Source organism: Homo sapiens, chromosome 6, assembly GCF_000001405.40.
Source record: "Homo sapiens chromosome 6, GRCh38.p14 Primary Assembly".
NCBI classification, from domain to species: domain Eukaryota; kingdom Metazoa; phylum Chordata; class Mammalia; order Primates; family Hominidae; genus Homo; species Homo sapiens.
The window spans coordinates 147732943-147759321 of record NC_000006.12 but is presented as its reverse complement, the minus strand read 5'-3'; the positions used below and the strand labels follow the sequence as shown (position 1 = coordinate 147759321).

At 37.8% G+C, this 26379-nt stretch overlaps 1 protein-coding gene and 1 long non-coding RNA gene across 2 annotated transcripts in view; one reads left to right on the top strand and one right to left on the bottom strand.

The window, feature by feature from the left end:
• Positions 1 to 26379, bottom strand: part of SAMD5 (sterile alpha motif domain containing 5) — a 445991-nt gene that overhangs the window by 195359 nt on the left and 224253 nt on the right. The gene's annotated exons all lie outside the window — the stretch shown is intronic.
• Positions 16025 to 17888, top strand: LOC105378044 (uncharacterized). Its single transcript, XR_943098.3, has 2 exons — positions 16025 to 16149; positions 17438 to 17888. It is a non-coding gene; the product is annotated as an uncharacterized LOC105378044 (long non-coding RNA).

Below are 26379 nucleotides of genomic sequence, written 5' to 3'. Positions count from 1 at the left end.
AGAAAGCTAGGCAGACAGATGGTAACGCAATACAGTAATGAGGAAAATTTAGCTTATGTTGATTTCTTCTGCCTTCCAAGAGGATGTTGCAACTACCAAGTAACACTCCATAATGGGGCATCTATCACTCAGAGGCATGCAAACATTTGTGCTCATCCACAAAATATCAGTTAAGGTGTACATACATTTCACCATATGTAAACAGAACACAACATACGGCTAATATGACAATTAGCAATATGCATTGCCTACCGCAGTTACTAAGTGATTTTAATTCCATTGGCTTAGCTCCTACCCCATTCCTCTCTTAAGGAGGTTTTGTTGTTTGTTTAGGTTTTGTTTTTTGGTTTTTGTGACTCAGCTCGAGTGAAACTAAAAGTATTAGAAATAATGGATTACATCCAATGCAGAGTAAACATTAAGATGACCTTCTTTTAGAGTACCCCCCATTCTTACAGAGTACCCTTCTTTCAGAGTAGCCCGAAGTACTTCTTTCAGAGTACCCCCAACAGGAGGAGGGAAGGAACCGAAGCAGGCCGGTGTGCTGGAGCCCAGGAAGTGAGGTCAGATCACTTCATGGAGTTGGATTTAATCCCAACTGCAAGTAAAAGATGCTGATGATTTTGACTGGGGAGAAGGTATGCCCTGACTCGATTTCCATTTTAAGGCTCTCCTTCTTCCACTTGCTGGGTAGAGAATTGGTTAAAGAAGATTAGAAAGCCAGTGGCAAGAAAACAGATTAGGAGACTGTTGCATTTTACTGCAAAATGAACAATCCAGCTCAGTGCTGAAATATCAAAACATTTGCAACATCACTGATAGGATGGGCAGACAGGACGGCACCAGCCATGGTTGCTGGCTCTCCCTGGCATGCCTCATTTCTTTATGAAGTTGCTTTTTGTGCCTTAAATCTCTGTGCCATTATGATTTATGACCACATGCAATCTTTTAAATTAAGATTTGTTTGATTGTCTGTTTCTATTAAGGTGACCATAATAGCAATTTTCCTTTTCCAAACAAATGTTTTGTAGAGTGCTGCAACTCAGAGTCTGTGTATGGATCATGACAGTGATTAATTTCTGTCGCTAAATTCTTTAGTTTCTTTAGCTAATTTAAGATAGCTGCCACTTTTTAATAACTAAAGGATATAAATCCAGTGGGGTATTTTTTCCTAAGTAATTGATATAACATCTTCATATTAGTGACTATAAATTATGGCTCTGTTACCCCATTCTGTCACCCAGTAAGGTTTCTCAAAGTAGGCACAACCCAGGCTGTGGCTGTGCTGTGGTGCATACAACTTTTCCTAAACAACAAATCATAGAAGCAAACACTGTCTAAACCAGTAATTTACATATGATTTCATTCAGTTGAATGAAAAACTCACTAGGCTTGCAATGCTGCTTTGTTTACTGATTTTTTTAAAGGTTAGTGTTAAACAAGTTAAAGAAGTCACTCTCTTAGGTAGAACCGATGTTAAGATTGGAAAGGGGAAATACCATTTACCTATTTTATTTGACCAAAAAAATTAAGTTTCCAAAATATCCTTAATTAGTAAATAGAAAAATAAAAACCCTTAAAATTTCCAAGGATTAAAAAATTCCCAACTTTGATGACTCATTTCTTCTAAGTGAGCACAGTTCCTCTCAGTGCATTTAAACATTGCTTCCTTAAACACATCCACAGACACCTATCACTCTTAAAGGGAATCTATTGCTATGATACAAACACTAGCAGAAAACTGAAGTACCAGAACTGATGCCAAATGTATAAATGACTTTTGGATTAAACCAGTGTTGGCTTATATGTGACATAATTCTGTCTCTTAACCAAATAGAGTGGGAAGGGGTTCTAACTGGTCTCAAAATGGCATCCAAACTGCTCAGAAAGAATGAGGACATCTGTGAGTATTTATACTCATAAAAACATGTCAGTCCATTCTTAGATCAAGGAATCCCAGCTGCAAATGAATGAGGGTCCCTGAAATGATGTTGTCAACCCCTTGCAGCCATTGGCAGCAAAGACACCCCTATAGTAGCACCCTGAATACTTATATATAACTATAATTGATTACATTTAACTTTATATGATTTGTAGATCAATGATGACTGCATGTTTATGCAAAGTGTCTCCGTAAAGAAATGAGACTAATTTTCTTCTTGAATAACTTGTGAAGACAGAAGAGCAATCACATTGCAGCAAGAATCTATGGCAGCATGTTTCAACGAGCAGCAGCAGTATTTCCAAGTTCAGCCAGTCAACTGTCATATGCTAACAGCTGCAGTGAATATTGCTTTATGTCGGAACAAAAATGGGTGATCACTTAAAGTAAAAAATTAATGTGGAGTTCTATGTGATAAATCTTCAACACATCCACTTGACATGCTAAAATAAGCCTCTGGGAATGAAAGGATGTTGAAAGCCACAATTTTAATGCCAACAAACTTTTTAAAGGTTGTGGAAGATGTTTATGTTGCTACACGACACGACTATCAGATCAGTCTCTGAGATTCATTCATAAAAATGGTGAAAACATTAAAGATTTAGATCATTTAATTAAGACACAAATGGTGGCTACAGACTTACACTAAAGGAAGGAACAAATAACTGCGCGAGCGCAGGGTTGATAAGGACATTAATGTCAATTCAGTCTCGCCTTCTCTATTTACAGATAAGGAATCTAAGCTCAAAATCAAATGACTCCTAAATGGTAAAATTAAAACTAATTTGATTTGTTCTGAAAGTAACTATGTTGCAAGAAAAATTTCTACAAAAATTATGCTGTGCATTTTAGGTAACAAAAGAAAACATTCAGATGGGTCATTTTCTTTAGTCTTCCAAAAAAAGTACCTTAAAAACCACTTTTTAAACGTTTTTAAAATTTCCTGTAACATAATCTAGATGCAAAATGCTTAATGTATTTACTAGAAAACTCCAACATCCCCAGGATCCAAATCAAATTATAATTTGATTTGAACACCAAGATTTCTTTTTTTGCTATCTGGTTTTGTTGAAGTAGCAAATCTTGATTTCTGTGTATGCTGCGTATTGTATTAATAGCCCAAATCAGTTTTAGTATATGTCAAATACTCAAGGAATCTTATATGACACAAATATGCTGACTAAGACTAATGGTGGTCTTCTTTATTACAGCAACTCTTTGACTGCAAACATGGTTTTTGTTTTTTTCAAACTTGACGTTCAGCTTTCTGATTGTAGATCTCACTCATCAGACATGCCTACAAATGGTTTTTGATTCTTTCCAAAATTCTGGCAAATGACATGCATTATCCTCCTTTGAGAATACTAAAAAACGTAATATAGGTTCTAAAATGCTCTTGAGAAATGGCCTTGTTATAAGTTTATATTGTCTGTGCAAGGAGTCTACTTTGAAATGAAAAGCATTCATTTGTGTTCAATGTTATTTTAGAAGTCAGTAACTTAACATATATTCTATAATTAAAAGTCTTTATTTATATTAGCCCCCTTTTTACAGTTTAATTATGAACTCTGAAGAAGCACTGTATTTCCTCTTATGGCTCTCCATGGTCCCTGGCAAAATGAGATGTTCTGTATACAGCCTGCATTCAATAAGAGTTGCTACAATGATCTTCAACTCGTCTAGGTTAAGTTATATTCCCCAAATCTGGAACTGCATGAAATTAGTATTAGTAGTGGGAAAGCCTTGGCTTAAATACCACTGACCCAAGCAGGCCTTTTCCATAATGGAGGAAGTGAGGATGATATAGTTGAATTGCACAGTTAGAAGATAATGGTTTGACTTTCATATCTGTACAGAAAATGCACTAGACAAGCAGTTTTACATTTTCCCACTTTCTAGAAAAAAAGAGACACATCAATATGAGTACCATTGACAGTGGCTGCCATATATGACAACTTCAGCTTTTATGCTGAAGATTGCTTTTGTACTCCTTAACTATATTCTTGAACACTAAAAATACTGTACTAAAAAAGAAATTAAAAAGTAATACCATTTACTATAGCCACGCATAAAATTAAATACCTAGAAATTAACTTAGCCAAAGAAGTGGAAGATCTCTATAATGAAAACCATAAAACACCGGTGAAAGAAATTGAAGAGAACACCAAAAAATAAAAAATATTCCATGTTCATGAATTGGAAGAATCAATATTGTTAAAATGTCCATACTACCCAAAGCAATCTATAGATTCAATGTAATCCCTATCAAAATACCAGTGACATTCTTCAGAAATAGAAAAAAAAATCCTAAAATTTATGTGGAACCACAAAAGACCCAGGATAGCCAAAGTTATCCTAAGCGAAAAGAATAAAACTGAGAGAATCACAGTACCTGACTTCAAATTATACTACAGAGCTATAGTAATCAAAACAGCATGGTACTGGCATAAAAATAGACACATAGACCAATGGAACAGAATAGAGAACCCAGAAACAAATCCATACACTGACAGTAAACTCATTTTTTATAAAGGTGTCCAGGACATATACCAGGGAAAAGACTGTCTCATCAATAAATGGTGCTGGGAAAACTGGATATCCATATGCAGAAGAATGAAACTAGACCCCTATCTCTTGCCATATACAAAAATCAATCAAAATAGATTAAAGACTTAAATCTAAGACTTCACACTATGAAACTAATACAAGAAAACATCGGGGAAAATCTCCAGGACATTGGTCTGGTCAAAGATTTCTTGAGGAATACTCCACAAGCACAGGCAACCAAAGCAAAAATGGACAAATAAGATCCCATCAAGTTCAAAAGCTTCTGCACAGCAAAGGATACAATCCAGAAAGTGAGTAGATAACCCACAGAATGGGAGAAAATATTTTCAAACTACCCATCTGACAAAGGATTAATAACCAGAATACATAAGGAGCTCAAAAAACTCTATAGGAAAAAATCTAATAATCTGATCCAAAAATGGGTAAAAGATTTGAGTAGACATTTCTCAAAAAAAAAAAAAAAAGACATACAAATGGCAAACAGGCACATAAAAAGTGATCAACATCATTAGTCATCAATGAGAAATGCAAATCAAAACTACAATGAGGTATCAGCTCACCCCAGTTAAAATGGCTTATATTCAAAAGACAAGCAATAATAAATGCTGGTGAGGATGTGGAGGAAAGGGAACCCTCGTACACTGTTGGTGGGAATATAAATGAGTACAGCCACTATGGAAAATACTTTGGAGTTTCCTCAGAAACCTGAATACTGAGCTACCATATGACCCAGTAATCCCACTGCTGGGTATATACCCAAAAGAAAAGAAATCAGTATATCGGAGAGACATCTATATTTTCATGTTTGTTGAAGCACTGTTTACAATACCTAAGATCAGGAAGCATCCTGAGTGTCCATCAGCAGATGAATAAAGGAAATGTGGTACATATACACAATGGAGTACTATTCAGCCATAAAAAGAAATAGATGCTGTCATTTGCAACAACATGGATGGAACTGGAGATCACAATATTAAGTGAAATAAGCCAGGCACAAAAAGACAAATATGTTCTCACTTATTTGTGGGATCTAGAAATTAAAACTGTTGAACTCATGGACATAGAGAGTAGAAAGATGGTTACAGAGGCTGGGAAGGGTGGTGAGGGGCTGGGGGGAAGGTGGGGATGGTTCACGGGTACCAAAAAAGTAGAATGAATAGGACCTGTTATTTGATAGCACAACAGGGTGACTTTAGTCCATCATAACTTAATTGTACACTTTAAAATGACTTAAAGAGTGTAATTGGATTGTTTGTAACTCAAAGGATAAATACTTGAGGGGACGGATACCTATCCCATTCTCCATGATATGCTTATTTTACATTGCATGCCTGTATCAAAACATCGCATGTACCCCATAAAATATGTACACCTACTATGTACCCACAAATGTTAATGTTGTACTAATGAGAATGAAGTGAAATAAAATGAAAATATTGTACTAATGATAGCAAAGCAGTTACAACTATGAGTAGGGGCGTCTGTGTGTGTGGTGTTTTCCCATTCAATGTATGCCTGTGACATGATAAGCACTGTATAAAAGTCCAACAAATTCCTCTACTCCTGGACAGGGCCTGCCTCCCATGAACTCTGCACTTCCCAGTGAATGCATGTTTAAATCATGGCTGCAGCAAAGGAAAGCAGCATTGGCTTTCTGAATGTCGGAATCAACACTGATAACAGTGTTAATATTTAAGCAAATGCATTGACTGTTATGTTTCTTTGTCAAAGTGAAATCGGTCATACTCCTTGTAAAATCATATGAAACAAGCATCACATTCCAATTCTGTTGTAGTCTGACAGTTTACTGCTCTAGGGCAATAAGGCAAAAATAAATGCAGTCACCCACAAATTGCTTCCAATTGTATGAGAACTCCTTAAGTATACAGTAAGTAGCTCTAAAAGCAGAAATCTGGATTCCAAACAAATTCCAACATGCTTCAAATTGCTTCTAACATATTTCTTTTCGGAAATGCTTAAGTGCAGAGTGCTGAAGTCTCTAGTTAGCATAGCTTTCTGTGTTCATTCCTGCCTTAACTGAGCCACCATGAGGTCAGATTCCATAAGTGTGCCATGAGAGGACCCTCTATGGTGTCATCCTCAGTTCCAGAATATGTAAATATAATACAATTTCAGGGAAATATGACATAATTAGAGGCTATTATGCAGCCTTCCATGAGCCCTAATTTGCATGTTTCCAGTAAAAGTACACAGCTCACAGTGAGTACACACAAACTGTCATTTTTTCAATACTATAATTATTACTTGCAAGCCTTGAAAAATATCTCTATCAATACCAGAAAAGGGTTTGTGGGAGATTACTGCAAATGACGATGGAATAATTAACAGTTCTTTCTGCTTTCCAAAAATTTCCATTGTGACAGTATGTATATTGAAAAATTCATAAATATATAAAACATGAATAAAAATTCCTATTATTAGGTTTTAAACTTCAAGAGTTAGAAAAATACCTAAGGAAGACTGAGAACTGGTATCACAATGAAACACGATTGCGTTATTTGAGGCCTGGTGTTTCTCTGTTGTTTTTGATAAAGACAACAGTTTATTTTTAAAGGCAGAGGTGATATGAGTAAGATTTTGCACTTGTCAGAGGGACATATCAAGATTATAAATTCAGACTTCAAGAACAAGATGCTTATATCTTCCATTTTACCATAGAGATAATGAGGAATAATACTGACATACACATGTACACAAAGATTCTCTGCTCTACAAATATATTATATTCAATTTTATCAAAGAATTAAAAGCATGGAGCCAGGGATGTAACTGTTTTCAAGGTTCTGATAGAATGCTACAATGAGATATAATCAATTGATATTTAATATATGATGAGAGTTTCTATTACTAGTTATTACTATATTACCAGATTTTCATATAATTATTTATGTACCATCTTCTATTTATTATATACGTTTGTATTTCCTGTAAATCAGTTCAGATCTCTTCTGAAAAAAAAGAATATTTCCACAAGTATTATTCTTTAATCCAAAAAAAGAATAAAGAAAGGTCCTAAGAAGAAGAGAGTTAGCGTCTCACCAGCAGAAACTCAACTCTTTTGCACCTAGTACAAGAACAGGCCTCAATCGTGTGATTAGTGTCATCTGGTTTGATCCATTTTTTTACGGGGGTTAATAATTTCATGTCTTTCAGGATATAAATTCCCGAAAAGTAAACATTTTCTGCAAACCCCTAGAGAACTACGAGCCTTCGGCATGCATTAATTATAACCATCACTGACTGAACCCTATTTTGTGGTTGCAATAATTCTTTTGGATCCCTGTTGTAAACTCTTAGTGAATCTGTCATTCACTCCTTCAACAAGTGCTTGCTGAGGCTTACTATGTACCAGGAACTGTTCAAGGTGCTGAGGATACAACAAGAAAGCAACCAAATATAGACAATTCCTACACTTCCGTTGCTTACGTTTTACTAGGGAGACAGATGGAAAAAAAAACACTACACATAAATAAACTATATAACATGTTAAACGGGTGAAAGATAAAAAGAGCAAGGAAAGAGGGTGGGAAGTATTGTAGAGCAAGGGGGAGTTGCAATTCTAACTTCAGCAACCAAAGAAGCCCTCATGAGAAAATAACATTTAAGAAAAAACCTGAAGGGTCTCGACAAGAGAACTTTCCAAGAAGAAGAAATAGCCAGTGCAAAGGCCCTGAGATGGGACAAGTCTGGTGTGTTCCAGGAGCAGAAAGGAGATGTGTCGTTGGAGCCATGATGTGGTCATCTGCCCAGCAGCAGCAGCACCCAGAACTCTGTCAGCAATGCAACTTCTCAGATCTACTTTGTCATAATCTAGGGCTGGGTGTGGAGTCCAGCCATCCATAGTGTTTTGTTTGTTTGTTTGTTCATTTTGAGATGGAGTCTTGCAATGTCACCAGGCTGGAGTGCAGTGGCCCGATCTCAGCTCACTGCAACATTTGCCTCCCGGGTTCAAGCTATTCTCTTGCCTCAGCCTCCCAAGTAGCTGGGACTACATGCATGTGCCACCACACCTGGCTAAATTTTGTATGTTTAGTAGATGGGGTTTCACCAGGTTGGCCAGGGTAGTCTCAAACTCCTGGCCTCTAGTGATCCACCGCCTTGGCCTCCCAAAGTGCTGGGATTACAGGCGTTAGCCACTGTGCCGGGCCCAGTCATCTGTGTTTGAACAGCTGCCTTCCTTCTCCCATTATCCTGAGCCTCATCAAACTGTGAGAAGCCTGGTCTAAAGCAATGTGTGCAAGGGAGGTCACAGGAGAGGAAGAGAGAGAAGCAACGGATCCTTGCATTTTTACTCTGAGGAAGAAAAGTCAGGAGACATGTGGCACTGGAACAAAAATAGATGAATACATATAGACACAAAAACACACATTAAATAATTAATTGAAAAAGAGAGTTACTAGGATAAATTGATAACATAATAACCCAGATTGGGAATATGGAGCCAACTAAGTGAAATACATTATTTTCAGGAAATTCTGTCCTGTATTTGCATTCATCTAAAAAGATGCACATTTTCAATGACCTCATCTGTGATTTAAAGCAGATTTCATATGCTATTTATGCATGTTGACACTTAGAGTCAAGCGATGGTTTTGCTTAAGACAATACCTATCTCTCAATATGTTCAAATGTAAATTCTAAGCAGGTAGAGGCTGTGTTTTCTAGAAGTTCTATAAAACACATAATTCTATGTCTCCTACAGGAAAGCTCCCATATGTGCCAATAACCTTGATATATTTTATATCATATAATAAACCAGTTTCTGGCTCATGAGGGGTGTGATATGCATTCAGCAGATAAGGAATAAGAAAGAGAAAAGGAAATAATTTATCAAAAGTCTGAATGACAACAATTTGTACAGTGATGAAAATAAGCGGGTTTTATTTAAGAAAAATCTCATTTCATTGCTTTTTATGTATATATACATCTAGAACCACACTCGCATGCGCATATACACACTACTTTAGTAACAGAATGGAATAAATCACTTTTCTATTTTTGGAGGTTACAATTTTCTTCACATTAATTGTGCCAAATGAATACCAAGATGCCCTCTTAACTCTTCTACCCTTTATCTTCAGAGTCAATATATCCTCTGAATACAACTCAAGGTTCCTCTGGCTTCTTTGCCATTCACATCTATCATACACTCTAACCCGGTCATATTCCATCAAATGGTTTGGTATAAACTGCTTGAAATGATTCGTACTCCTTTATTCATTCAACCTATATTTACTGAAAACTTATAATATGACATCATCCCCAACAAGAGTCCTCCACACATTTATAGGATGGTTTCTCTCCCAACAAATTATTACTAACAGGTTGGGCACAGCGGCTCACACCTGTAATCCCAGCACTCTGGGAGGCCAAGGTGGGTGGACCACGAGGTCAGGAGTTCAAGACCAGCTTTGCCAACATGGTGAAACCGTATCTCTACTAAAAATACAAAAATTAGCCAGGCATAGTGGTGGGCACCTGTAATCCCAGCTACTTGGGAGGCTGAGGCAGGAGAATCGCTTGAAACTAGGAGGTGGTGGTTGCAGTGAGCCAAGATCACACCACTGTACTCCAGCCTGGGCAACAAATCAAGACTCTGTCTCAAAAAAAAAAAAAAACAAAACAAAAAAATATTCAGTAACAGACAACATTTCCTATCAAAAACTTGGGTAGCCAAAGAAAGTTATAATATAGAAGCCAAAGAAATACATCTCAAGATGTCAGCAAGTTGAGGTTATTAGCATGAAAATATCATTAAATGTCATTAACCAAAATGCAACTTAGAGAGAAGGCCCTTAGCCTTTAAATCAACAAGAGTCAATAAACGGAGAGTACCTTAGTAGGCATCCATTGACTTAATTGTACTGCCAGATCAAACTACTGATTATGGGGGTCATTCAGGTTGGTTCAACCCATATATAGGGTTGGTTCTATCATTGGCTGAATGCTTCAGAAGTGAAATTTATAATAATGACCCAATGGCTGTTTGTATTAACTCCAGAATTTGCTTTTTTAGGGAATTACTGTCCATCAATGCAATGGACTTCATTTCCTGGTAGAAATGAACAACAGCATGATATCAGCTGTCATCTTTCCCTTCCTTTCTTTCTCCTCTTCTCTCTCTTTTTCATACATCCCTTTTTTCTCTCCAAGTGAAACTGTGGCCCCACTGTCAAACCAGAAGAGGAACCAAAGAGGTGAAGGAGAACAATTAGTCTTTCTTTATTCTTTTTCCAAGTAAATTTTCTCCACTGGATTGGCCTTATGCATAATAATGATGATAAAAATCACTTATGTAGTACTTACCACCCATGTACTGCTCTAAGTATGTATATACAAGAAGTCATTCAAACATTACAACCACCATATGCGGTGGGCATTATTACTATTTCCTTGGCACAGGTGAGGAGACTAAGGCACAGAGTTTAAGTAACTTGCCCAAGGTCAGATAACTGGTTAGCGGTAGAATCTGATTCTAATCCAAATGACCTGTGCTCCTGAACGATGAATGTGCCACAGTCTGTCCCTTCCACCACACACATACCAAGAGACTGGTCTCCTTGAGTAAGGGACATCTTTTCCCCCATTACATGGTGGACTCCATTTCAAAGGCTCTTCCCAACCAGACTTGATAATTGGGATAAATCTGCAATTTTTGAACACTTACCAAGGTGAAAATATAATACTCTTAAGTAATTACATGTTGTATTCAACTGAGTTGGTGAGAAACTTTGGCTTGATGAGTGAGGTTTTGCCCTCTATATATAAAGAACAACTTGTCTACTGTGACTAAGTCAGAAGGGCCAGAATTGTTCCCACCAACATGTAGGGAGAGATATATTTTCCAAAATCCAAGCATGATTCCTTTGGTTTTTGTCTTCTCAGAAAAAAACAATTACTTTTGGAAACTTAATAGCTATTTGAAAATGACAGAAAATGGTATTAAAATTAATGGAAAATACTAAAGACAACCAACGCAGCAGCTATAAGAATTCAAGAAGGAATAGAACAGAGTTTCTACCTTCAAATGGCTGATAAATAAAGATAATAAAACAGGTTTATCGGCCTAGGGAACATGGTGAAACCCAGTCTCTACTAAAAATACAAAAAAAATTAGCCGGGCGTGGTAGCGCGTGCCTGTGGTCCCAGCTACACGGGAGGCTGAGGTGGAAAGATTGCTTGAGCCAGGGAGGCAGAGGTTGCAGTGAACTGAGATTGTGCCACTGTGCTCCAGCCTCAGTGATAGAGACCCCGTCTCAAAAAACAAAAAGACAGGTTTTAAAAAATCACGGCTTGGCAAAATTACTACAAGAATGGTATAAGTCAAAATTTAGAAGAGATCATATTCAATTGAGTGAAGTCAAAACAGTGTTTGCCCCCATCTTCACCATCCCCATTTAATTCAGCAGCAACCTTGTTGCCTTCATGCCCTGAACAACATCCTGCCCCTCCATTTGCAGGGCCAGTCCCTCAGGGCCTAGACCACTCACTTCAGCCTCACAGAACTTCCAGCCATGTTTTTCACTGTTGTCCTAGCAATCCCTGCGGTAGCACTTCCCAAAAAACATAGATAAGGAAACACCTCTTTTTCCTCATATTCAAATGTTGTGAGACAGTGCTCACATGTCCCACAGGGATTCTTTTCTTCCAGCAAACATCCCTGACCCATTCAACTACTTCCTAATTTCCAAACTTGACATCACCTTTAGTGTCAGCATCCCTCTAAAACACTGGTACCCAGAGGAGAAGAGCAGGCCTTTCTTTTGACATGATATTTAACAGCCTGTGACTGTTACTGAACATGGTCCTCACGGGTAGATTGAGGGGGTGTGTTACTTAAACGCCTGAAATCCTGATAGAGTTACATGTGTTGCAGCCCATGACCTAGTCTCAACCCCATCATAAAGAAAATGAGCCTACTTTTGCATGCCTTATTTTTGGCAAATCCAGGCTGCCGCCTAGTGACCCCTGCTTTACGTTCGAGATGTTTAGTAAAACGTACTAGTCCTTGTATTCCAGGCTACCACTGTGCATATTGAGTACCAACCCATAGTTTTTGAAATCCACCTCTGCCCACTTTTGGTTCCTTAAATGTCTTCTGAGACCTTCCATGATAGTTTCTTGAAGACATCGGACTGGCTATGAAGACATATCTGTAAGCCTTTTCAGTATCCTTTGACCTCATTTTAACTAAATTTGTATGCTCTCTCACACTGCTTTCTCATCTTGGATTTCCTCTTTAACTCTAATTATTTTGGCATTTCTAGTCTACAGATTACTCTCCTTGACAAAGTACATGAAAGTGAAGTGGAAAGTAAGTACCATAAAATCTGTAAACTTGAACCACTAAGGCCTTAGAAATAATCTAGCATGAGTGTGTGCAATCAACACACAACAGAGTAGCAAGGAAGTCCCAGGTCACTTCACCTACACTGTTGTACTCATTCGCAGCCATCCCTGAATACAGGACACCAAGGCCTCAGGGAGTCTGAGCAGCCCAGGAGACAGCTTCAAATTTTTCACTCCACTCAAAAGAGGAGGAAGGGAGGGAGGCAGTCATGAAAGACACAGTTCTAAACATTCATTCTGTGCCCAGCACCGAGGATCCAGAGGAGTGAGCTTCTTCGTCTGATCCCTTCAAGGGTCTCTGTCTTCAAACTACTCATCCTCACAACCATCCAGTGAAACAGGGATGGAAATAGTAATTTTTACAGGCGAAATGAAGCTCAGATAAAGAAAGTAACTTGCTGGCTGGATATGGTGGCTCACGCCTGTAATCCCAGCACCCTGGGAGGCCGAGAAGCGCAGATGACTTGAGGCCAGGAGTTCGAGACCAGCCTGGCCAAGATAGTGAAACCCCGTCTCTATTAAAAATACCAAAATTAGCCAGGCGTGGTGGTGCATGCCTGTAATGAGCCTGTGAGGTGGAGGCTGCGGTAAGCCTTGTTCCCATCACCATAGTCCAGCCGGGGTGATAGAGGGAAATCCTGTTTCAAAAAAAAAAAAAAAAAAAGAAAGAAAGAAACCTTCCCAGAGGCACACAGCTAGTACAGGAGCTTTTCACAATGCCTGGCCTACTCTCCTAAATCACTAGTGAGACACAAGATGGGTGTAATTAACATGTAATGCACCTGGACAGTGTGCACTTTGTGAAAACACTGTTTGTGAGAATGGCACTCTCCTGGTTTACCCACTCTGGATGGACAGCAGTTCTCAGGAGCAGATTTGTCTGATGCATACATCTATCCCCTCTGGAAAACAGACTGCTGAAGAGCAAAGATTGGGCCCATATTATCATCTGTTAAACGGGTATAATAATCGGACCTACCTCATCAAGTTGTTGTAAAGATTGAGACAATTCATCTAAAGCACTCTGTAAATATCAGATATCATTGTTAAGAACTCTGAGAATAGTTTTTCCAGTAAAGACATTTTTTTCCATTAAATTTTTTTTCACTATGGAAATTTTCAAACATATAGAAAAGTATTATAGAAAGAATGGCAGACTGAATCTTCACATACCCATCTCCCAGCTTCAATTTTGACACTCATGAACAATCTTATTTCATCTATAGTCACACTCACACACACACAGGCACACACAGTTATTTTGATCAAATTCTAGGCGTAATTTCATTTGTAAATATTTGTGTATATAGCTCTAAAATAGAGGAATTTTGTTTTTAAAAATCACAAGAATACTATTATCACACTTAAAAATTTTAATGGTAACTGCTTGATATTATCAAATATACAATTGACGTCTCTACTTCTCTACCATCTTATAATTGTTCTTGTTACAGTTTAGTTAGGGTAGGATCCAAGTAAACCTCACACCCGGTGATTGCTGGGTCTCTTTTACTTACTTATTTATTTATTTATTTATTTATTGTGAGACAGAGTCTTACTCTGTTGCCCAGGCTGGAGTGCAGTGGTGTGATCTCAGCTCACTGCAACCTCTGCCTTCCAGGTTCAAGTGATTCTCCTGCCTCAGCTTCCCAAGTAGCAGGGATTACAGGCACGTGCCACTACACCCAGCTAAATTTTGTATTCTTAGTAGAGACAGGTTTTCACCATGTTGGCCAGGCTGGTCTCAAACTCCTGACCTCAGGTGATCCGCCCGCCTTGGCCTCCCAAAGTGCTGGGATTACAGGCATGAGCCACCGCGCCCAGCCTGGGTTTCTTTTAATCCACAGCCTTCCCCTTTTCCTTCCTTGTTTCTCCCTTGTAGTTTTTTTGGTCGAAGAAACTAGGTCATTTGTTTTCACCGATACAATTTCTCACAGAATCCTGTGAGCTATATAAAAATCATTTCTCTTTCAGTATAAGCAATTCTACTTTCCTTTCTTTAGCTCAAGAGTAATTTTCTGCTTAACATTTGTTACACTTTTATCCTTGTATAAAAAGTTTACTTGAGAAATAGTTATATTTATTTTACTTAGATAAGTATGTATTTAGCATTTACTATGTCTCAGGAACTATTCTCATTTCTTCACAAATATTAGTTCATTTAATTACCATAATAATATTATCTTCTTTTTACAGATGTGATGTCTAAGACTCAGAGAGGTTAAGTAACTTACCTAAGGTCACACAGCTAGTAAATAGGCAGACAGCTCTATTTAGAAACTAAGATTGAAAGAATATTAAATGTTCACTTGATCTAACCATTTTTGCAGTCAGTGCTGTACAGCTGAAAAGGCACTGGACTTGGGTTTTGAGTTTGACTATTCCATACATTAGTTACGTGACTCTGAGCAGGGTATTAAGCCTCTCTGCTTTCTTGATATACAGTGAGCATTTAATAAACACTAAACATGAACCCCACCCAGAAAGCCATTTCAAGGGCTAACTGTGAAATCCCTTTTTATAAATTTCACCTTATAATAAACCACGCCAGTTAAGAATGCTGTAGACAGACTCTATTAAGTCCCAAATCTTTGGGCAGTTTTTCTCCAGCATTCAGTTATGAATATTACTTATGAATTAACATTTACTAAGTGGGGACTTTGAGTCACAACTAAAATGCCTATTGTGAATTAATTGCAGGATGGGTTAACTGGATTAATTAAAGAGATAACAATTGTCATCTGATAAAAATACATAAAATATTGTGTTAAGACATTCAAGAGATGAAAAAGCAGACAGTATCAGTTAAAATTATATGCATTTGCTTCAAATAAAATGAGTGAACTTTAGAAGATAAATTTCCTATTTAATATATTTAATACAAACAATCTATAGTATGTGAATAGTTGAGGAGTAGTTACAACTTTTTTTTTTTTTTTGAGACAGAGTCTCGCTCTGTTGCCCAGGCTGGAGTGCAGTGGCACGATCTCGGCTCACTGCAAGCTCCGCCTTCCGGGTTCACGCCATTCTCCTGCCTCAGCTCCCTGAGTAGCTGGGACTACAGGCGCCCTCGCGCCTGGCTGATTTTTTGTATTTTTAGCAGAGACGGAGTTTCACCATGTTAGCCAGGATGGTCTTGATTTTCTGACCTTGTAATCCGGCTGCCTCAGCCTCCCAAAGTGCTGGGATTACAAGCGTGAGCCACTGCGCCCGGCCTAGTTGAGGAGTAAATGGACTGGATTAAAGTTAAACCATAACCCCAAATTCAGGTACAAATTTATTATTGATCTTACTGAGCTTGGGTGTTAGCATTCCCAGAACAATTATCTCTAATAAATTGAAGTATGTGCTCAGATTACTTTCATAAATTGATGGGTTGTCAAAATAATGGAATATATGGTGTTCTTTAAAAATTCCCTTCAAATTTAGTTTTACAGTAATACAGCAATTTAGAGAACAATCACCTTCTTGTACCTCCACATTTTAAGATTTATTTCAAATACACTTTCACATATAAAGAGAGCACCACACAATGATAGCCTCTATGTACAACAAGTAAAATTAATCATTTATTATTTTTCTACTTCTAATTTTTCTTTAGGAAAATAATAAATAAGAAGTTAATTCCTTCCTGAAGAGGGAAAATCATTTTTAGTTGCTCATTTGTCCTTTAGAAAACCCTGCAGAGGTGATCAAGGAGAAACTTCATTATCTTAATCTTCGGGAAGCCTCTGTTACATTCCAATGTCCAACTGTCCAACTTCGTTAGTTCTTAACTGGATAGAGTACTGCCCCCTTCAGCCCATGGAGAAAGGCAAATGCCTCCTTCAGAGTCTACCTAATGCTTTCTCAGATAAATAAGCATGAAGAAAAGTCAAAGTCCATTCTAGCTCTAAAATAAGGAATGAAATGTTTTCCTGATATGATTTTTTGTTTTCATCTGATAATAATTTTATATATCACAGAAACAGCATGGTACGTATATCCTACCAGGATAGCCCCAGGATAATTTTCTTAAAACACGCAGGTCACGCGAAGATTATTATTGGTTATTTCTGCAGTACAAGGGAAAGAATCATTTCAATTCAACAATCAAACACCCAAAGCGACTCAGAGGCCCATAGCAGGCAACTTCCACTGCATGTAAAGGAAAAAAAGCACAGACACAAACACACACAACACACACACACAAACACACACACACTAGTGAACATGCACAGGGCAAAAGACGACTTAGGCCAGACAAAACCAGCCTGCAACTGTTTCATAATACTACCACAATTTTGTTGTTATTACATTTTTGCACATATAAAACTCATATTTTTTTAAAAGGATATTGATGACACAAACAGGCCATGGTCACTGACTAAAATAATTTCTTAGGTTTTAGATATTTCAACAATATTGTCAGTCTTTGCATGTTGAATATGGGTTGCAAACTAGAAATCATGAAACTTTTTATTTATTTCTTATATAAACACGCAGAGGGGAAATAGACGTGGGTGGGACCTAGTTTTGAGGTGCCTAATAAGAAATATGTTTTTCCATATATTCAAGGTTCTTACTAAACCTCTTCAAAGAAATGGCAGCATGATGAGCTTTGAAAATGTGAAAGAAAAGAGCAGAGAAGGAGGGCCCCATGCACACACACCCGAAGAAGAATTGTGTTTCGTGGTAACACACTACCCTCAGGTTCAGACCACACTCAACCTGTTTTTCCATATATTCAAGGTTCTTACTCAACCACTTTCCCTTCTGTGGGGTTGTGATCAGAAGCCTCGTACTGTTCCTACCCTTGGAAACGGCGCATGGGATACCTGCCAACAACACATACGCACTTCATCATGGACAGCAAACACACTCGTCATTCAAAACCAGCATTCACGGGAAAGCACTGTTTCTGTTTGCCTTTTTATGTTAATCCGCATGCAACATATTTTGAAAACAGATACACTTCAACAGTTCAGAATATGCTAGTACTAATAAAACCAACATGTTACATGCTGAAGTAATTGCTCAATTCAGTAAAACCCCTAGACCCTCGGCAAACAAATGTGAAATTCAAGAAAATTTTAAATGATTATCTCATCAAAGACCCCCCAGGGCAACAAAGAATCCTGGGAGGGGGTGGCTTGTTCAAGGGTCATTGTATGTCAACGGCTTCAGGAACTTGGCACGGTCTGGAGACCCCCAGCAAAGAAAAATGTTTCCTCTGGGGAGCTCATTCTTGGGTTTCTCAAACCCCTGGTTTGAAAACTAAGGTTTCATGTCTTTACCTCTAGTAGATCTAATGTCCATATGTCTTACTGTAAAACCAGGACTTTGACCCAACCCATGATTAACTTGCCTTTCAAGAAGTACCTGAGACACAATACCAGAGGCGCCATTCCATGGTGAATACTTGAATGTATACCTGAAGAAAAAGTCTCTTGTTTTAAAAATTAAACAGCACACTTAACACAGTCAATTTTGAATCCCAGCCTGTATATTCAGGTCATGTCAGGTTTCTCCTAGTAATGCCAACTGCTTTGGCAGTTAACTAGGAAACAACAAGACAGAGGATTGGTCAGAAGTTAATGAAGCTTCGTGTGTATGTTTAGCCTTGATTCTAAAATTCCCATATAGACAGGGAGGGTCACATGGTACATTATGCAATTCATTTGATCTTGTTTACTTATTTATATATTTCTATTTCTTTTATTTAAAAAATTCAACTAGGTATATAGGGAAAAAGGAGCATTTTAAGAATGGCCTCGTTTTTCCTGCTTTCATTTGTACATCTGATAATATATTCTGAAGCAAGAGCTGAATTCCAGAAAGGTGAAGGAATAGTATGGCAAGGTTAGGCCTGTGTGATCTGTGATCCAAAAATGTCAGCCCACCGTGCCACAGACAGGGAGTGGAGGCACATGTCTTCACTGAAAGGAAGTTCTGTTTTAGCTAAAATGAAGCACCTGTTCACATTGGAATCCTATGCGTAAGTAACTTGTGGTGAAATTTAGGTTTAAGAAAGAAATGTAGTGGGAGATCAATTCAAACACAGCCTAAAGCTCATCTGGCCTAGTGTTATCTTCAGAAAGGCACTTTTATATCACATAGGAATCTTTTTCAAAATACTCATGTGTAGCTCTCACCCCCAGATATTTGAGCAGTAGAGAACCATCCTATTGTTCCTGATGCGTATCTCTGGGTAGCTTACTTATTTTAAAGAGGCAGCGTTGCATGACAAAGGAATAGTTTAAAAATGAAGCAAGTCATAATGTAATAAATGTAAATACTTTAATGTAATAATGGATAATGTAAATAATTTAAAATAGTATAAATGGTCGGGTGTGGTGGCTCATGCCTGCAATCCCAGCACTTTGGGAGGCTGAGACAGGCAGATCACGACATCAGGAGTTAGAGATCAGCCTGGCCAACATGGTGAAACTCTGTCTCTACTAAAAATACAAAAATTGGCCGGGCGTGGTGGCATGTGCCTATAGTCCCAGCTATTTGGGGGGCTGAGACAGGAGAATTGCTTGAACCCGGGAGGCAGAGGTTGCAGTGAGCTGATATCATGCCGCTGCACTCCAGCCTGGGTGACAGAGCAAGCCTCCATCTAGGAAAAATAAAATAAAATAAAATAAGAAAATACAAATAAAATTAACAAGTATAAATAATTTAAAATAATGTATCTAATTAATGTGAATAACAAACATAAATAACTGCCTATTCAAAAATGACTTTGCATCTATTTGATTAGTAAATCACCCATTTTCTCTTTTTCCAGAAAAAAGAATGACAGTACTAAAAATCTCTTTCCATTGATCTAAAAAATTGGTACTATTTTTGTTTTTGTGTTGAGACAGGGTCTCACTCTGTGGCCCAGGCTGGAGTGCAGTGGTGAGATCTCTGATCATTGCAGCCTTGACCTCCTGGGCTCAGGCAATCTTCCCACCTCAGCTTCCCAAGCAGCTGGGACTACAGGCACATGCCACTACGCCTGGCTAATTTTGTTTTTATTTTTGGTAGAAATGAAGTCTCACTATGTTGCCCGGCTGGTCTCAAACTCCTGGGCTCAAATGGTCTTCCGGCCTGCGCCTCCCAAGGTGCTAGGATTACAGGTGTGAGCCACTGTGCTTGGCCAAAAATTGATACTATTTATAGTGTATTAAGTCAGTTGCTATTCAAATATTCTTTGGCAAAAAATAAAACTAGGATCCAGGGCTTTAGTAGCGCAGAGTCACTCAAGTTTTGGATTTGTGCATGTTTGACTAGGCTCAAGGAAAACAGAACTAGAAACACTGCCCTGCTCTGTCTGAAGGGAAACCTGTCTTGATTACTGTGATGCTTTTTCCCCAACACCATCCTAGACAGGCAGAGCTTTTAAATGGTCAGGTGATCTCCCGAGGAAACCACTGATGAAACCACCAAGGATCTCAGTTTGCCCCTCCGGGTTTTCTCACAGGCTCCAGGCTGACTTTGTAATTCTCTTAAACTGGCAGGTGGCCCACAGGATGAGGTCTGCTCGTGGGTGGGGGTGTGTGGTGTGCTTTTCATAATATGTCAAGGAAAAGGTTTTGAATTATTTCCCAGAAATTCAAAATCAAGAGATTTCACATATAAATATCCAGATTAATGGCTTCTCTTTAAAACTTGGAAGCTGTACCAACTGTGGGCAGTCAGCCACAGTCAGGGGTGGCCAGACAGGTCTCTGAGCTCAGTTTATGGTTTTTCATCCCAGGCATTACCTTGTTTGAGCCTTGTGAACTCTGAGTTTGTAAAACCTGCAGATAGACATCTGGATGCATTTTTCAGGCCCCTATGTCAATTACTCCACCCTCTGCTATGAAAATATTCAAAACTACAATCACTAGTTTATATAAAATATGTAGAATAACAAGCTCATAATGAAGCCAAGTATTCCAGCCTCAACATGCATTTGAAAACATTTTTCTCCTTTCTTGCTTTCAACCTTGAAACATACTTTGAAACTCTTAATTTCTCCCTTTCACACCAGGAACTTCTGCGCACAGTGCTTGCTTATCTGATTATGTGCTTGCTTAGAAATTCCAGAGACCAATTTTGAAACGAAACAGGTAAAGAAACCAAGTGGCAGAATCCTCCCGCTTAGAAGGAGTACGAATAGTTAGCTCACCACTCTCCGGCCCAAGTCAGGATGACACCAACCCAACAGGCAATTACTCAAGATAAACATCGGAACTAGACATGCAGACCTGCGCCTTCCTGCACCACTACCATATATTTCCCATACCTTTTCCTGCCAAAACCCCTTCACTCAGCCCAAAAGGCAGAGATGGCTTCTTTGAGGCAGAAGCCCGGCCATCTCCCATCTGCTAGCATTTGATCAATAAAGTTGCCTTCCTTTCCTTTCACCATGCCTTGCTTCTCATGTTTTTGGTCTCTGAGTGGTGAGCAGCTGATTACTGGTTACAATAATAAAATCTCAAAAGATCTTAACTGTTATTGTTTTGATCATATCATAACCCCTCTCTTTATCCTCCGTAACTTATACATTCCTTTCTGTATGTTTTTCTTTTTTCTCTTCTGGAGACTAGATTAGGAAATAACCGATGTCCTGGCTTGTGCAGAAAACATAAGTATATACATTTATATACACTGTAAGACTGAAATTTGAAACGTGTGCATGTGTATGTAATATATATATATATAACATGGGAGAGGCTGGTTGGGAGAATTGGGATGTTTAATACTCCACTCTATTCCAGCCCAGGGGCAAAAAAAAAAAAAAAAAAAAAAAAAAAAGCCCTCAATCTTTGTTTCCTTTCCAAGCCTATACTTTGTGGTACTTTAAACATCTTTTCCAGGATTATTCTTATTTTAAAACTTCAGTTCTAAGGATATGTACTGAAACAAATAACTTAAATGGATCACTGTCCCAAAAGGAGGACCTGCTTTTTATTTGGATGTGCCATCATACAAACACTGCCTTCAGTATTCTGGCAAAACAACACACAATGGAGGCAAAATTATGTGTCCAAAGAAATGTCAATACATCTTCTTATAGTCATCCTGTAATAGCGTGGGATTGAGATGATTAAATTCACAGCTCCAATAAACAGCACGCAAATTACTTCTTGAAGGTAGCGGCATAATAATACCTGGAGCATAAAAAGAGGAAATGAAGTTTAATTAAGTGTTGCCCAGTGAAATCATAGTGAAAAAGCACGGTGAAGGGGGAACTGAAAACTCACCCTTCCCGAGGATGGGAGGGACATGCTGTCAATTATAAAAAAACCTGATAAAAAAATACATTACTATATATGTATGTATAGTATAACACATATGTAACATATAATACACTATAATGTATATAATATACATAATATGCATGTACATAATATACATGCATTGCAAAGTTAACCCAATCATAAATCAATCTCCTCATTTTCATTTGTACTGAAATGTTGATTTATCTTTGTTTTTTAATAACACTACTATAATCATAAAGAAGTCAAAACCCAAATAAGGCTGGTATGTATTCTGTAGTTAATATGAATAAATATAAATACCTCCAAACACATCTAGTATTTATCTGTTAGCAATATTAAATCAATGCCCCAGATTAAAATTTGCATCTTCAAGGGAAATCATGGCCCCTTGAAGAATGAAAACTAAGTCACAGAAGAGAAATCCAGTTTTGAGACTAAATGCTAAGATACATGCTTAAAGATTCGTTTTTGAATATAATATACCTAGGTTTTCCTTGGTCAAAATATCAAAATTTCAGCCTATCTGAAATGGCCTTGTGAACTATCATCCCCAATGCCCAAGCCCATCAGAACATGCTCTCAAGAAAGTCTATGTAAATAGTTGGTACATGTATATAGTAATCTCTTGCTTCCCTGTGCCCATCTAAGTCCATATGTTCACTCTCCTGAGTTACGCTGCACTTAGTAGCTGTTCAATGAATGTAGTCTGTGTAAATTATCTGTATAAGTTATATATAATTGTACAAATTATCATTATGGAAAGCAAGACTTTTCTCGATTTATGATATTTCAAACATTACATATCAAATTAGGGAGAAAGTTTTGACAGTATTTTAAAGAAAAGAATTAAAGGATGTAAAATGGCTATGATTTCTTGAGAACTTATTATCATTATACTACTAATTACAGCAAACACTTCACACATAACACATACTATGTGGCAGGCATCGTTCTTTGTACCTTACATTATCAACTCGCTTAGTCTGTGCAACAACACTGAATGAGATTGATAATACTACTATCTTCACTTTACTGATGAGGAAACAGAGACACACAAACGTTGCATAATCTGCCTGATGTCACACTGCTAGCAGGTGGCACAGCCTAGATTTGGAGACAGCCAACCTGCCTCCAGTCTCTTAACTGTGCCAAGTATTATGGTAGGACCTTAATACACATGATCTCATGAATCCTCACAGCTACCCACCTAGACATATAATATTAGTCACATTTTACAGATGAGAAAAGAGCCTTTAAAATGATGCTCAAGGTTGCACTGAGAAAGAGCAGGTTTTGAAGCTAGGATTTGAAGCCAAGCCTGTCTAAATCCAGAGTTGACACACTTTCCAATTAATTGTAGTACTCCTTGAACATATGAAAACAAATAAGGAAGTTTCAAACTTGAAAAACACGTCAACTATCTGGTTTTTCTAAAAAATACATCAAGTCTACAATGGTGACTCTGGATTTACAGATAACTGCCTGTCTTAAAATCCCAGTGAAACTCCCTCCTTGAATGGAAAAGAATAGACTGATGTAAAAAAAAAAAATAGTAAAATAGATGATACGATCTCTGAAACTTTAAAAACTTCACACTATTCCTTAAATTTTGATTAAATCAGAGATATATCAATCAATTACATTTAGCACATTTAGTTTCTATTCAGAAATCTCACCATCTCCACCCTTGATTACAGATCCTTTCCCTCTCTCTCTTGAAGCTGAGAGGTCACAGTTACAATTCATTAGTAATACTTAGGGCTTTGAGATGAGTTCTCAGACTACCATAGTTCTATTACAGTGAGCAGTAATAGGAATCAGGCATCTCTTCACACACAAAAAAGTCATTTCCGATAACAATCAAAGCCACAACAAAAAACCCTCTTCTAACATCCTATGCCATTATAATAGCTGTCTTTGACAACTAAATACCAAGTAATCAAAACAAATGTTAATTAGCACCCATCATTTACAATTCATAGAGACAGGCCATCATCCATTAATTATCAGACCAATAACAGAGTATTGATCACAATTTGTCAACTTGCAAATAACTGAAACCAGTAAAAGAAGAAAAGAATCTTTCAATAAACAACAGGCTTTCATTTCATAAACATTTAACCAGCTCTTTTATTGTACATTACTCCTCTCATCAATAAATGCTTTTCATATAATTGTCTGTCTCTTGATTGTGCTGGCTTTTTAAAACAAAAATTACGTGGTTTAGTGAGAAGATATGAGGCACATATATCATTTTGGCAGCCAATATCAAGTCATGATGGAATTAAGAGTCAATACCTTGCAGAAGTCATAAAATTAGCGCTTCCAGCCTAGGTGCCTTACCTTAAAATACCATTAGTTCACTTGCAGTTCTCATCCATTTAAAAAACATTTACTGAGTATCTATGTGTGCCTTTTAAATACGGATTTAATTATCCAGATATTTGATTTGTGTTCTAAATCTTTTTTTTTTTTTTTTTTTTTTTTTTTTTTTAGATGGAGTCTCGCTCTGCCGCCCAGGCTGGAGTGCAGTGGCACGATCTCGGCTGACTGCAAGCTCCACCTCCCGGGTTCACGCCATTCTCCTGCCTCAGCCTCCCGAGTAGCTGGGACTACAGACACCCAACACGCCCGGATTATTTTTTGTATTTTTAGTAGAGACGGGGTTTCACAGTGTTAGTCAGGATGGTCTCAATCTTCTGACCTCGTGATCCGCCCGCCTCGGTCTCCCAGAATGCTGGGATTACAGGCGTGAGCCACCACGCCCGGTCTGGGTCTCTAAATCTTAATAGTGAATGCAAGGATACATAAAGCAGACATCTTCACAGAAAGAGGCAAAAACACACTATCTGCTTTGTCTTAGATCCCTGAGTCAATGTAAAGTCAGTTTTCAATCTAAAGAAAAAACAACAGACTTTACAGGAATCTGAATGAAACACAGACCTTAAAATATGATCCTTCCTCACTAATCATTTCTTCCAGAACCTTCATAATGATTTTACAAAGAAATGCAACACATAAAAACTAAAACCACTTAAGGGATGGAATTATGACCAAATCCACTCTTACATAAATAAGCTATCATGATGCTTAATAGAGTTCTCCAATTATCCCAACATAAACATTTTATGTCATAAGGAAAAACTTATCTTATAGGGAAAAATAACAAAAGTTTTAGTTGTGAATATGAGTTAAGATAAAATGGAAAGGCCTAATTTTTCCTTATTTCGGATCCTGTCCATTTTGGACAGAGAAAACAGGACAGGATTAGTTCCAATTTTGAGGAACTGGAAATTGACTCAACTCATAGTTAACACTGTCCGAGGGAATGGCGCTTTTCCAGCTGCAGGGACAGGCCAAGTGTTTTAACTCTGCAAAAATCTCAGCGGCTTACCTTAAAACTGGCTTTAAAACAGCTTTTCTGTGATAACCATATGTGCCCATTTTCTGCCTGAAGAATTTCCATAATTTTAAATCCTAGAAAACATGAATCACAGCGGGGATTCAGATATAACATTTAGTATAGCAATTCTTGGATAAGGGAGGAGAGAATAAAGTAATTATAATGGTTATCAAAGTTCTACCTGGAGAATTGGATGGCTAAATGGATTACCCCTTGACTTTTCACTCCTGAGACTACAGTTGGATTCAAGTCCTGACTGGAGTGACTAAAAAATCATTCTGACCACTGATGTGAGAAAGGCCTGAAGTGAAATTAGAATGGTGGTCTCAGTCCAGTTGTTTCAATGCCGTTATTTCCAAATCCCCAAACCACAGCAAACCTGTACTCCGTGCAGAAAACGCACACAAAACCCACACTTCCAGGAAAGAAAAAGGTAAAAGAACCAAAAACTGCTATTAATAAACTATAAATCACACAAATACACTACCCAAGTAAAATCCTGTTACTAAACAAACATTACATTGGAAAAAAGAAGAAACCTGGCTGTTTAATCCTTGGCATCCCTTCAAACTTGATGCTGTTCAATTATTAATGCTTTTGTTATGACCTACTTTGTGCTAATCCAGGAAAAAGGTAAACTTGCTCAGGTATTTAAATAAAAATATTGTCATTTTCAAGTGAATTCGCTTCAAGTATAAATGAAATAAAAGCTAGAAATGTCAAAATGTAGGCAGCCTGATAGACCTAACTAGGAATGAAATGGAATCAGTTGACACCCAACGAAATACACAAAAGCTTCCAGTAGTGCTCAGTCCCTTCTTAAATGAAGGAGTTAACAGACCTAGCATGTTTCAAGAAAA